Source organism: Homo sapiens, chromosome 15, assembly GCF_000001405.40.
Source record: "Homo sapiens chromosome 15, GRCh38.p14 Primary Assembly".
In the NCBI taxonomy this organism is placed as follows: Eukaryota; Metazoa; Chordata; class Mammalia; order Primates; family Hominidae; genus Homo; species Homo sapiens.
In genome coordinates this window covers 72,185,910-72,197,975 of record NC_000015.10, presented here as the reverse complement: position 1 = coordinate 72,197,975, position 12,066 = coordinate 72,185,910, and the positions used below count along the sequence as shown (strand labels likewise).

The window sequence follows — 12,066 nt, the reverse complement described above, 5'->3', positions numbered from 1 at the left end:
CTTGGAGCCCCACCTGGGGAAGGTGGGGAAGGAGAGAAGCTGGGGAAGCTGGGGAATGAGGGGGAGGAACGGCCAATGGGCTGTGCCCGGCCCGCGCGACCCGCCAATGGGCGGGCGGGCGGGGCGGGCTCTCGACGGGGCGGGCGGGGTCCGGCGGGCGCTGGGTCCCGGCGCGCGGTCGGGGCGCTGGGTGCAGGCGCCGGGATGACCGCTTTAAGCCGGAGCGAGGCCACCGAGGAGGGCGGGTAAGGGGTTGCGGCCCGGGGGCCGGTCTCGGGGGTTCCGGAGGCCGCCGCGAGGGGCTGCTGCCGCGCGGGGCAGGACGGCTCCTGGGGCCGCGGCAACTCGGCGCGTTCTGCCCACGGGGCAGGCACTTCCCGGCCGCCGGAATGCGGGCTCCGGGCCAGAGCTGCACCGCGCGCCCAGGCGTCTCCCGGGGCCCGCGAGGTGTTCGCACTAGGACCGGGTGTCTTGGCTGAGTCTGCTGCGACCTGGGGGATGAGGGACGGTCCCGGCAGCATCGGGGCAAGGAAGGGCACCCTCCTCGGGACGCCCCGCATGGCCCATCTCCGCCTCGCCACTCTGTTCATCCTTTCATTTATTCATTCATCATTCGTTGCCCGCGGTATCGACTCCCAGTCCTAATTGCCCCCGACCCAAAGGTTGGATTTCCCTGCGTCCCCTGGAGGGCCAGACTGTTTCCTCTCGCCGCCGAATCCGTATTGTAGCGGCCCGCGGCTGCGGGGAGGCAGCTCGGAGCTGTCTCAGCACGACGCGGCCTCCCCCGGGCGCCAGGCCCATCCCGGTCGGGCGGGCTGGGGCCGGTCTCCCGGCCTCGAGACCTGGTCCAAAGTCGCCCTGGGAGAAAGGGATAAGGAGGCAGGGCAGACAGGAGCTGGCGCTGCACGTAACATCCAGAATTGTGGTTTCTGCTGCTTGAGGTCTTAGGGTCCTGGGAGTGACATTGTTTGGGGGAACCTGTCAATTCCTGCCCCGGTCCAGGTTCCAAGCCGCACAGCCTAAGGTCGGGTACAGCCTGGCATCCTCGGCCAGCTAGCACTGGGGCAGGTAGGATGAATGTGTGAGCCTTGTGTCCAAATCAGCCCGAGACACACAGGGATGTGGACCCCAGCGGGACTCCCTCTGCCTTATACTCAGAGGGACTGGTGGGGCTCCACCCCGCTGTCGTCTGTGTCTCTGCTCTGCTTGCCGCCCCACTCACTATGCTTGATTGTTTAAAGGTGCCCCTCCTTGCAGGGGCCAGGCTCCTAGGGAACGAGAGAGGGTACCCTCGCAACCTGATGTCTTCACCCCATGTCCACCTGTAGCCGGCTCTAAAGTCTGGCTCCTTTCAGAGCAAAGACTTATGGCCTTGCTGGGAGAGGTAGAATAGAGGGTGTCTATCCCATTCTTCAGTGAGGAGTCAGTATGCCCCTCCTTCTTTTTTCTTTTTTTTTTTTCTGAGACAGTTTCACTCTGTCACCCAGGCTGGAGTGCCGTGGTGGGATCTTGGCTCACTGCAACCTCTGCCTCCCAGGTTCAAGTGATCCTCCTGCCTCAGCCTCCCGAGTAGCTGGGATTACAGGTGCCCACCACCACGCCCAGCTAATTTTTGTATTTTTAGTAGAGATGGGGTTTCACCATGTTGGCCAGGCTGGTCTTGAACTCCTGACCTCAGGTGATCCACCCACCTCAGCCTCCCAAAGTGCTAGCATTACAGGGACTACAGGTGTGAGCCACGTGCCTGGCCCCCTCCATAGTCTTCTGATCAGGCTGGCTGGAGACCATGCTGCAGACACTCTTAGGTTTAAGTTTTAGTTTGACAGGCATTGAGGTAGCCTCAGTGGGCACCTCTGGGACAAATGGGCAGGTCCAGAGGGGAAAGCTGACAGAGGCCCCATCGAGCTTCCAGGAGAGTTTAGGCTGGGGCCAAATAGAAGTTCTCCTTCCCAACTTCCCCTTGGGAGAATTTTCTGAATAGCCTGAAGAGGGTAGCTCAAGCTCCATCTGTGCCTTGATGTTGCTGGCTGCTTTCAAATTTCTTTCTTTTTTTTTGAGACGGAGTTTTGCTCTTGTTACCCAGGCTGGAGTGCAATGGCGTGATCTCGGCTCACTGCAGTCTCCGCCTCCTGGGTTCAAGTGATTCTCCTGCCTCAGCCTCCCGAGTAGGTGGGATTACAGGCATGCGCCACCACACCCGGCTAATTTTGTATTTTTTAGTAGAGACGGGGTTTCTCCATGTTGGTCAGGCTGGTCTCCAACTCTCGACCTCAGGTGAGCTGCTCACCTCAGCCTCTCAAAGTGCTGGGATTACAGGTGTGAGCCACTGCACCTGGCCTCAAATTTCTAAATTTAGCAAGGCCCCAAAGCTTTGGCACAGACCAGAGAGACTTGTATGCTAATTCATCCACCTAGGGTGCTCCCGTGACCCCCTGAGGTTGAGGTCGGCAGTACCCAAGGTGGGTTGCTGCCAGCTGGCCTCTTGGAAGCTCTCCCATGAGCTGCTGCGCTGTTAGTGCCTCCTGGGTGGCTCCACCCCGCCCCTAACCTGCTTAGGTTCGCTCTGGTCCTTGCCTGCCACGGACCATGTTTATCAGCTGGAGGGAAGAGCCTCACTCTGGAATCAGAAGTGAGTTCTAAGCCTCAGGCTGTTCCTGTTTTGCTGCGACTTGGGACAAGTCACTTCCGCTTTCTGGGCCTGCTTTACACCATAAGGTAAGGAGATTGGACTGTAGGTTCCCTAAAGGCCTTCTGCATGCAGTCATCCAGTGATTCTCCTAACTAGACACTTCTAGCAGCTTCAGGGGAAGTTTGTCTACACTCATGCTACAGTATTTTCAGCAAATGTGATTGGACAAGTGGGCCTGTGCCTTATCTTTTGGTGGAGTGAAAAAATTTGGGCCAGTGAAGCCAAATCCTTACAGCAAGCAGCATGCAGCATACCTGGCTCTTTGCTGATTGCAAATAGGCATTTAAAGTATGAATTTGAGCCGGGCGCGGCGGCTCACACCTCTAATCCCAGCACTTTGGGAGGCTGAGACAGGTGGATCCCCTGAGGTCAGGAGTTCAAGACCAGCCTGGCCAACATGGTAAAACCCCATCTCTACTAAAAATACAAAAATGAGTTAGGTGTGGTGGTGTGTGCCTGTAATCCCAGCTACCTGGGAGGTTGAGGCTGGAGAATCTCTGGAACCTGGGAGGCAGAGGCTGTAGTGAGCTGAGATCACGCAACTGCATTCCAGCCCGGGCGACAGAGTGAGACTCTGTCTCAAAATAATAATAATAATAATAAATAATAAAGAAAAAATATGAGTTTGGAATCAGATATCTCCATTACTTCCAGCTAAAGCGTCATCATAGGTATTTCCTAAGTTTTAAGTTCTGGATAAAAACTCCACTGGTGCCTACTATCTCCACCATGAACTCTGTTAAGGAACCTTCACTTTTGTATATGCCTGCTGTTTTCTCTTCATTTCCCTGTCTTCTGCATAAGCATGCCCTCTTGCTAAGTAATTCAAGCATAAGGTCTTGGAATACTAAAATCATAAGCTTAGGAGAAAGAATAAAATAAAACTTATTCCCCGTCCCCCCAAAATCCCTCCAATTTCCTTCCCAGTTTCGGAAGATGTTTCATTTATTTTCAGAATTTCTCCTTTGCTGTGGCTACCCATGGAAAGCCCTTGAAGTCAAGAACGGTGTAGCATTCCACTCTGACATCTGGTGTGAGCCTGAACACCAGAAAATAATTTTTCTCCCTTCCAGGAAAGTGAAAATGATTTCCCTCAATTCTGCAGCCATCTCTGATGCAAGTGTGAGTTTCACTTGAGGTCGGCCTTGGCCACTGTGCGCTATTCACCTGGACTTCAGGGCATCAGTCTGTCACCACCTGTCATCACCAACCTTTGAAGCTTTAATTCCCCAGTTATTTGCTAATGTGGGAAAGGAAGGAGGAGGGGGAGGGCAGAAGCCCCTGGGAATGGAGCTTCCTGTGTAATTAAGAAGTAACAGCCTCCCTGAGGTGCACCTGCGTGCTCCGGCACAGATTCCAAAAGACAGGCATTGTTCTCAGGGATATAAGCCACTGTAGGAGAAAGTGATTCCTCGCCCCTCCTTCCCACTACTATACATTTTTATTAGTTTAGAAATGCACGGCCTGGCGCGTTGGCTCACACCTGTAATCCCAGCACTTTGGGAGGCTGAGGCGGGCGGATCACGAGGTCAGGAGATCGAGACCATCCTGGCTAACAGGGCGAAACCCCATCTCTACTAAAAATACAGAAAAAAAATTAGCCAGGCATGGTGGTGGGCGCCTGTAGTCCCAGCTACTCGGGAGGCTGTGGCAGGAGACTGGCGTGAACCTGGGAGGCGGAGCTTGCAGTGAGCAGAGATCACGCCACTGTACTCCAGCCTGGGCGACAGAGCAAGACTGCGTCTCGAAAAAAAAAAAAGAAATGCACAAGCCGGGTGTGGTGGCTCACGCCTGTAATCCCAGCACTTTGGGGGGCTGAGGCGGGTGGATCGCCTGAGGTCAGGAGTTTGAGGCCAGCCTGGCCAACATAGTGAAACCCTGTCTCTACTAAAAATACAAAAAATTTGCTGGGCGTGGTGGCGGGCACCTGTAATTTCAGCTACTAGGGAGGCTGAGGCAGGAAAATCGCTTGAACCCGGGAGGCAGAGGTTGCAGTGAGCCAAGATCACACCATTTGCACTCCAGCCTGGGCAACAAGAATGAAAAAAAAAAAAGAAATGATTGGTCATCATTTAGGACTGGAGGCGTGTTTTAATAACCTGTGGCGACTGAACCAATCTTTATTTATTTATTTATTTATCTATTTATTTATTTATTTTTGAGACGAACTGTCACTCTTGTTGCCCAGGCTAGAGTGCAATGGCACGATATCAGCTCACTGCAAACTCCGCCTCCCAGGTTCAAGCGATTCTCCTGCCTCAGCCTTCCGAGTAGCTGGGATTACAGTCATGTGCCACCACGCCCGACTAATTTTTTGTATTTTTAGTAGAGATGGGGTTTCTGCATGTTGGTCAGACTGGTCTTGAACTCCTGACCTCAGGTGATCCGCCCACCTTGGCCTCCCAAAGTGCTGGGATTACAGGCATTAGCCACTGCACCTGGCCGACTGAACCAATCTTTAAAGCCTTGTCATAAATTAGTGTTTCCTCAGTGATGTTTGTAATTACATTGTTAATTTTTAAGCAGTTTTTGGCTGGCTCTATTTCTTTTTAACCTAAAGTAAAGATCACTTGAAGAATTAGTTTAAATCAAACATGAATTGCTTTTCCTCCTAACATCTGTACATGGCACATCAATGGTATAGTAGTTAATTGTCGAGATCCTGCTGGTATTTCATTTCATTGCCTTACCCACCGCACAGCAGCGTGGGCAGTATGCCTGACCAAACAACTGTGACTGATTATTAGGATTTTTTTTCTCTCTTCTGTAGGAAAAAAGTTTAGATATTTCTAATATGTGTTAGAATTAATCAGATTACTCAAAACCTGCCAGTAATCACTCAGGCCACACAAAATGCTATTTTAAAATACATTTTGAATTTTTGAAGGATTACTTAGAAATTTTATTTTAAAATAACCCAGTGACAGTACTTCAGAATTGGTATTCCTATTGGGCTTCCTTCATTACCAGACAAGTTGAAACATGTTTATATTCTGAATTGCTAACTTTTTATTGTGGAAAATTTCAAACATATACAAAAGGAGAGAGAATAGTATAATAAGTGGCATGTACCCATCTCCTGGTTTTAGCAATAATCAAGTCATGGGTAAAGTTTGTTTCATATATACCTCCCTTCTCCCTGTCTCCTGGATTATTCTGAAGCAAATTGTAGCTATTATATTATTTTATCCAAAAATATTTCAATGTATATCTATAAAAGAGCCTTTAAAAAATATTTCTACAATATCATTATTACATCTAAAAAATGGCAGTAACTTCTTAATCAGATAGCTAGTCAGCATTTACATTCCCTCCATTGTCTCATAAATGTCTTTGTACCATTTAATAAGGATTCAAATGAAGTTTATACTTTGACTAAAGTCAAAGAGTTGCCATTTTGAATCTCTATATCTTTATCTCTTTAGTCTATGGTTTCCTCTTTTCTTCCTTTTCTTTTTTCCTTGCAAATTATTTGTTGAAAAAAACAGGCTATGTTTTCTATAACTTTTTCTGATGTGTTGATGTTGTTTAAACCATTCCTTTGATTTATGTATTTCCTATACATTGGGAGTTGGACCTACAGTCTCGGTCAGATTCTGATGGTATTGTGTGCTTCAAGAAGTATATAATATCAGTTATTTCTCTTTGAAGAATGTTAGCAGCCATTGATGATTATTTCATGCAGACCCATTATTTAATTAGGGACTGAAATATGGTATTAGTCTAATCCTACCAGTTTTTCATCATTTATTAGGAGACTCTTTCTATAAAAAGATGTGTTCCCAGCTGGGCACGGTGGGTCCTGCCTGTAATCCCAGCACTTTGGGAGGCCAAGGCAGGCGGATCACCTGAGGTCAGGAGTTTGAGACCAGCCTGGCCAACATGGTGAAACCCTGTCTCTACTAAAAAAAATACAAAAATTAGCTGGGCATGGTGGCGGGCACCTGTAATCCCAGCTACTCAGGAGGTTGAGGCAGGAGAATCGCTTGAACTCGGGAGGCGGAGGTTGCATTGAGCTGAGATCACACCATTGCACTCCAGCCTGGGCAACAAGAGTGAAACTCCATTTAAAAAAAAAAAAGATGTGTTCCCTCTTCAACCATTTGCTTATCCTGAGGTGTAGCCAGTACTAGAAAGGCAGAATAAATACTTGACTCTTATTTCTTAGTTTTCAAAATCGTGGTATGGGCTCTAGTAGCCACCAAAGGTGGCCAATGAGTCATTTCGGTGTATTATAATCTCATGGATTTAAACATATTTGATGTGTTTTAATCCATTCTTATTGATGCTCAAATGGTCCCATCTTTAAGTTGGTTCCTGAGTTCTTGAGCCATGACTCCAGGCTTCAATGACTTCTTTAGTTTCTGGTATGATTAGATGTTTTAGGCTCCTTTTTGCATTTCCTCAGATCCGGAATCAGCCATTTCCCCAAGGAGCTGCTTAATTAGAGGAGTATTTTCTATCATTTGGGGGTCATAGGCTACGTTGAGAGTCTAATAAAAGTGAAATGCTCTCTTCCCAGAAACATACTCCTTTGTTCAGACCCAACAATTTTGCCCAAAGTTCCAGGAGTTCACAGATCCACCCTCCAACTCTTGCCTGGACCTCAGAGGCATGTAATTTACATTAGATTGTCAATCTGCGTCCATAATGATGGAAGACTTGGGAGAATGGGAAATAACCAAGTGTCCCCATGTGAAAACAGAAACTGGAAAAGTTAATGAATCTTGCAATATAAGAAGACACAAGAGAACAGAGAGTTGTGGAGCAGACTTTGCCCTGGTCACACCAGCAGTGGAGATCCAGTTTTATTAAGGAAGGAACATGAGGACAAAGGTTTGTTCCTTGGTGAAGGATTATTAGCTAGAAGGTGGTCCATTTAGGTATTGGGAAGAACCTTTTTTTTTTTAGACAGAATCTCACTCTGTCGCCCAGGCTGGAGTGCAGTGGTGCAATCTCGGCTCACTGCAAGCTCCGCCTCCCAGGTTCACACCATTCTCCTGCCTCAGCCTCCTGAGTAGCTGCGACTACAGGCGCCTGCCACCACGCCCGGCTATTTTTTTGTATTTTTTTTAGTAGACACGGGGTTTCACCATGTTAGCCAGGATGGTCTCGATCTCCTGACCTTGTGATCCTCCCGCCTTGGCCTCCCAAAGTGCTGGGATTACAGGCGTGAGCCACCACGCCCAGCTAATTGACTATTAGAACTTTCTAATAGTCAGGACTGCAGTGACAGATCTAATAGATGATATTCATGTATAGGCATACATTTTGAAATTCCTGTTGCCTAGTTACAATGCACCTTTTTTTCCCCACCCACTCGAATATTTATTTCTTTATATGGAGTTTCTTGATATGGATAACACTGAGTAAGGGTTTGGTTTGGTTTTGTCTTTTAAGCCATTCCAGCCATGTAGTCAATAGGACAGCCTAAGCTTTCAGACAGACCTGGGTTCAAATTCTTGCTCCACAAGTTACTGCTGAGTTTCTACTGGCTCTGAGCCTCCCGTTATCATTCTATAAAACAGACTCACATCTAACCTGCTTCATAGGTACTCTGGCTGTGTAATGGCCTAGTACACAGTAGGTGCTCACTAAAACGTACTTTCCTTTCAGTGCCTCTAACTTTGAGAACCTAAAATGGGACTTCTTAGTGATAATTCAGCTACAGCTCTAAGAAAAGCTACCTCTGTTTTACTTTTCCAGGCACAAAGTTCACTTTTTAAAATACACTTTTTGTTTTGAGAGAATTGTAAATTCACATTCAATTTTATAAAATACCACAGAGAGATCTCATGTATTCTTCACCCAGTTTCCCCCAATGGTAACATCCTGAATAGCAATAGAACAGTATCACAACCAGAAAATTGACATTGATATAATCCATCTACCTTAGTCAGATTTCACTAGTTTTACATGCACTCATTTGTGTCTCTGCATGTGTGTGGACCTATATTTAGTCTTGTGTGATTTTTATCACATGTAGATTTGGCAAAGTTCATTTTTAAAACAAAGCTTTATTTTTCTGTTGGTTCTGAAAGTTTCCATGTAGTGAAGAATGAGATTTTAGGAATTTTGAATTTCAGAGGTGTCTATTCATTAATAATATCGCAGTGCCTTTGGAACAATTCTTTTTCCTGCCTTCTCCTTCTCCTCCTTTTTAAAAATTCTTTTACTAAATGAAAATAGTATGTTTATTCTAATTATAAAATTCAGGCAAAGTGGCCTGAATACTTTGTTTTGTTTGAACTTATTCTAACAGGTGTATAATACTTTTAAGATCAAAACCAATAAAGCTCTTAAAGGCTGGGCATGGTGGCCCACACCTGTAATCCCAGCACTTCAGGAGCTGAGGTGGGCAGATCACCTGAGGTCAACAGTTCGAGACCAGCCTGGCCAACATGGCAAAACTCCATCTCTACTAAATATACAAAAATTTAGCTGGCTGAGGTGGCGGGCACCTGTAATCCCAGCTACTTGGGAGGCTGAGGCAGGAGAATCACTTGAACCTGGGGGTCGGAGGTTGCAGTGAGCCAAGATCATGCCACTGCACTCCACCTTGGGCGACAGAGCAAGACTCTGTCTCAAAAAAAAAAATTGAGGCAAAGTATACCAAAAATACAGAAAAGTATAAAGAAAACAAAAAAACATGTAAAAATCCCAATTCGTGGAGGAAAATGTTAGAATTTTAGTGAGCATCTTTCTACATATATTATTAGGCACACTGTTCTACAGAACGCTTTTCCAATGTTATATAATGCTATCTTTCATGTTAATATAGACTTTTTAATAAGTTTTAATAAATATTGATAAATATTTTTAATGGTTACATAGCCTTCCAGTCTACAAATAAAACATAATTTGTGCCTTATTGATGGACATTTATAGTACTTCCTTTTTTTCTCCTCTAACTACACTTTAATGAGCATTCTTTTTTTTTTTTTTTCTTTGAGACGAAGTCTAGCTCTGTTGCCCAGGCTGGAGTGCAGTAGGAGGATCTCAGCTCACTGTAATTTCCGCCTCCTGGGTTCAAGTGATTCTCCTGCCTTAGCCTCCTGAGTAGCTGGGATTACAGCTGCATGCTACCATACCCAGCTAATTTTTGTATTTTTAGTAGAGATGGGGTTTCACCACATTGGTCAGGCTGGTCTAGAACTCCTAACCTCGTGATCTGCCTGCTTTGGCCTCCCAAAGTGCTAGGATTACAGCCATGAGCCACCACGCCCAGCCAGTGAGCATTCTTATTATACATTGTAATTTGTGCTCAATTATTTCCTAGCAATAAATTGTTAGAAATGGAATTTACAGGTGTGACAGGTGTCTACACATAAAATTTATGTACCTTTTTCATACTGTCGTAACATACAAGTATGTGAGACTGTTCATTCACAATATGTTGATCAACATTAGATAGTATTAACTTTAAGCCTTTAAAATCTAAAAAGTTAGGAAAAAAAGATATTATGGCCAGGTACAGTGACTCACTCACACCTGTAATCCCAGCACTTTCAGAGGCTGGCTGAGGCTGGCAGATCACTTGAGCCCAGGAATTTGAGACTAGCCTGGCCAACATGGCAAGAACCCTGTTTCTATAAAAAATGCAAAAAGTAGCCAGGCTTGATGGCACATGCCTGCAGTCCCAGCTACTTTGGAGGCTGAGTGGGAGAATTGCTTGAGCCCAGCAGGCAGAGGTTGTAGTGAGTTTATATCACACCACTGCACTCCAGCCTGGGTAACAGAGTGATACCCTGTCTCAAAATATATATATAACTTATATCTTTAATTTACTGTTGTTTTTTTTTTAGTTTTCTTTTTTGTTTTTTCTTTTTTGAGACAGGGTCTTGCTCTGTTGCCCAGGCTGGAGTGCAGTGACATGATCATAGTTCACTGCAGCCTCAACATCCCAGGCTCAAGTGATCCTCCCACCTCAGCCTCCCAAGTAGCAGATGGGAACTTATACCTGTTAGTATAAGTTCAAACAAAACAGTGTATAAAGAGTGAACATCATCCCTTTATTCTCCTGGATGTAGTCATGATTGATATATACCCTTAAGTATAGTTTTTTTATGTTATAGATTATATCATACTGATCTGTATCTACTTTTCTTTTCTTTTTTTTTTCTTTTGAGACAGAGTTTTGCTCTTGTTGCCCAGGCTGGAATGCAGTGGCGCTATCTCAGCTCACTCTACCTCTACCTCTGGGGTTCAAGTGATTTTCCTGCCTCAGTCTCCCAAGTAGCTGGGATCACAGGAGCCTACCACCACACCCAGCTAATTTTTTTTTTTTTTTTGTATTTTTATTAGTAGAGATGGGGTTTCACTATGTTGGCCAGGCTGGTCTCGAACTCCTGAGCTCAGGTGATCCACCTGTCTCGGCTTCTCAAAGTGCTGGTATTACAGACATGAGCCACTGCATTCAGTCTGTACCTACTTATCAGTTACAATACATGTTGGACTTTTTTTCCATATTAGCACATATAGGAGCTCTAACTTACTCTTTTTTATCAATTGCATAGGAATCCATTATACTGATAAAATACCATTATGGTATTTCTACATTTTTCCCCATAATTGTTAATCATACGAATATACATTTTTGTCCATTTATTTCCTTACATCAAGTGTCTTAAAGGGAATTGTTGGGTTAAAGAATTTGTATTTCTTGGCTGGGCACAGTGGCTCACGCCCGTAATCCCAGCACTTTGGGAGGCCAAGGCAGACAGATCACGAGGTCAGGAGATTGAGACCAACCTGGCTAACACAGTGAAACCCTGTCTCTACTAAAAATACAAAAATTATCCGGGCGTGGTGGCATGCTTCTGTAGTCCCAGCTACTCGGGAGGCTGAGGCGGGAGAATCGCTTGAACCCAGGAGGTGGAGGTTGCAGTGAGCCGAGATGGCGCCACTGTACTCCAGCCTGGGTGATAGAGCGAGACTCTGTCTCAAAAAAAAAAAAAATTAAATAAATAAATAAAAGAAAAAGAAAAGAATTTGTATTTCTTAAGGCATTTGATGTATATTAGAAAGGTTAACTCAGTCTTTAGTCTTATAATGGGGAATAATGAATGACTATTTTTCACATCCTTGGTAATACTGAGCACTATAATTTTAGTGTTTACTGATAAAATAGGTAAGATAGATTGTTTTCTAAATTGCTTGTTCATATTCTTTGCTCACTTTTCTATTAGGTTATTTACCTATTTTTATTGACTTGGATGAGCTCCCTACATATGAAGAATACCAATCCTTTGTCCACTTAAATTTTGATATACAGAAGTTTTAAATCTTTATGCAATTAAATCTTTTATGTGTTCTGGGTTTTATATCTTGCTTAGAAAAACTTTTCCTGATATTTAAAAATATTCTCTTTTATTCTA

At 45.2% G+C, this 12,066-nt stretch overlaps 1 protein-coding gene across 1 annotated transcript in view, besides 3 other annotated features; it reads left to right on the top strand.

The window, feature by feature from the left end:
• Positions 42-461: a silencer, noted in NCBI's record as "silent region_6617". NCBI's record gives its function as "represses an Ori minimal core promoter by ATAC-STARR-seq in GM12878 lymphoblastoid cells {active_cell/tissue: GM12878}" and the evidence as "EXISTENCE:reporter gene assay evidence [ECO:0000049][PMID:35858748]".
• GRAMD2A (GRAM domain containing 2A) overlaps positions 189-12,066 on the top strand; it is a 37,982-nt gene continuing 26,104 nt past the window's right edge. The window contains exon 1 of the mRNA NM_001012642.3: positions 189-245. Within this exon, the coding sequence (NP_001012660.1) occupies positions 205-245 (41 nt within the window). The 5' untranslated portion in view covers positions 189-204. The remainder of the gene's footprint in view (positions 246-12,066) is intronic.
• Positions 572-751: an enhancer, noted in NCBI's record as "active region_9714". NCBI's record gives its function as "activates an Ori minimal core promoter by ATAC-STARR-seq in GM12878 lymphoblastoid cells {active_cell/tissue: GM12878}" and the evidence as "EXISTENCE:reporter gene assay evidence [ECO:0000049][PMID:35858748]".
• Positions 3,731-4,354: an enhancer, noted in NCBI's record as "NANOG-H3K4me1 hESC enhancer chr15:72485963-72486586 (GRCh37/hg19 assembly coordinates)". NCBI's record gives its function as "activates a minimal SCP1, AML or CMV promoter by ChIP-STARR-seq in primed H9 embryonic stem cells {active_cell/tissue: H9 hESC(primed)}" and the evidence as "EXISTENCE:reporter gene assay evidence [ECO:0000049][PMID:30033119]".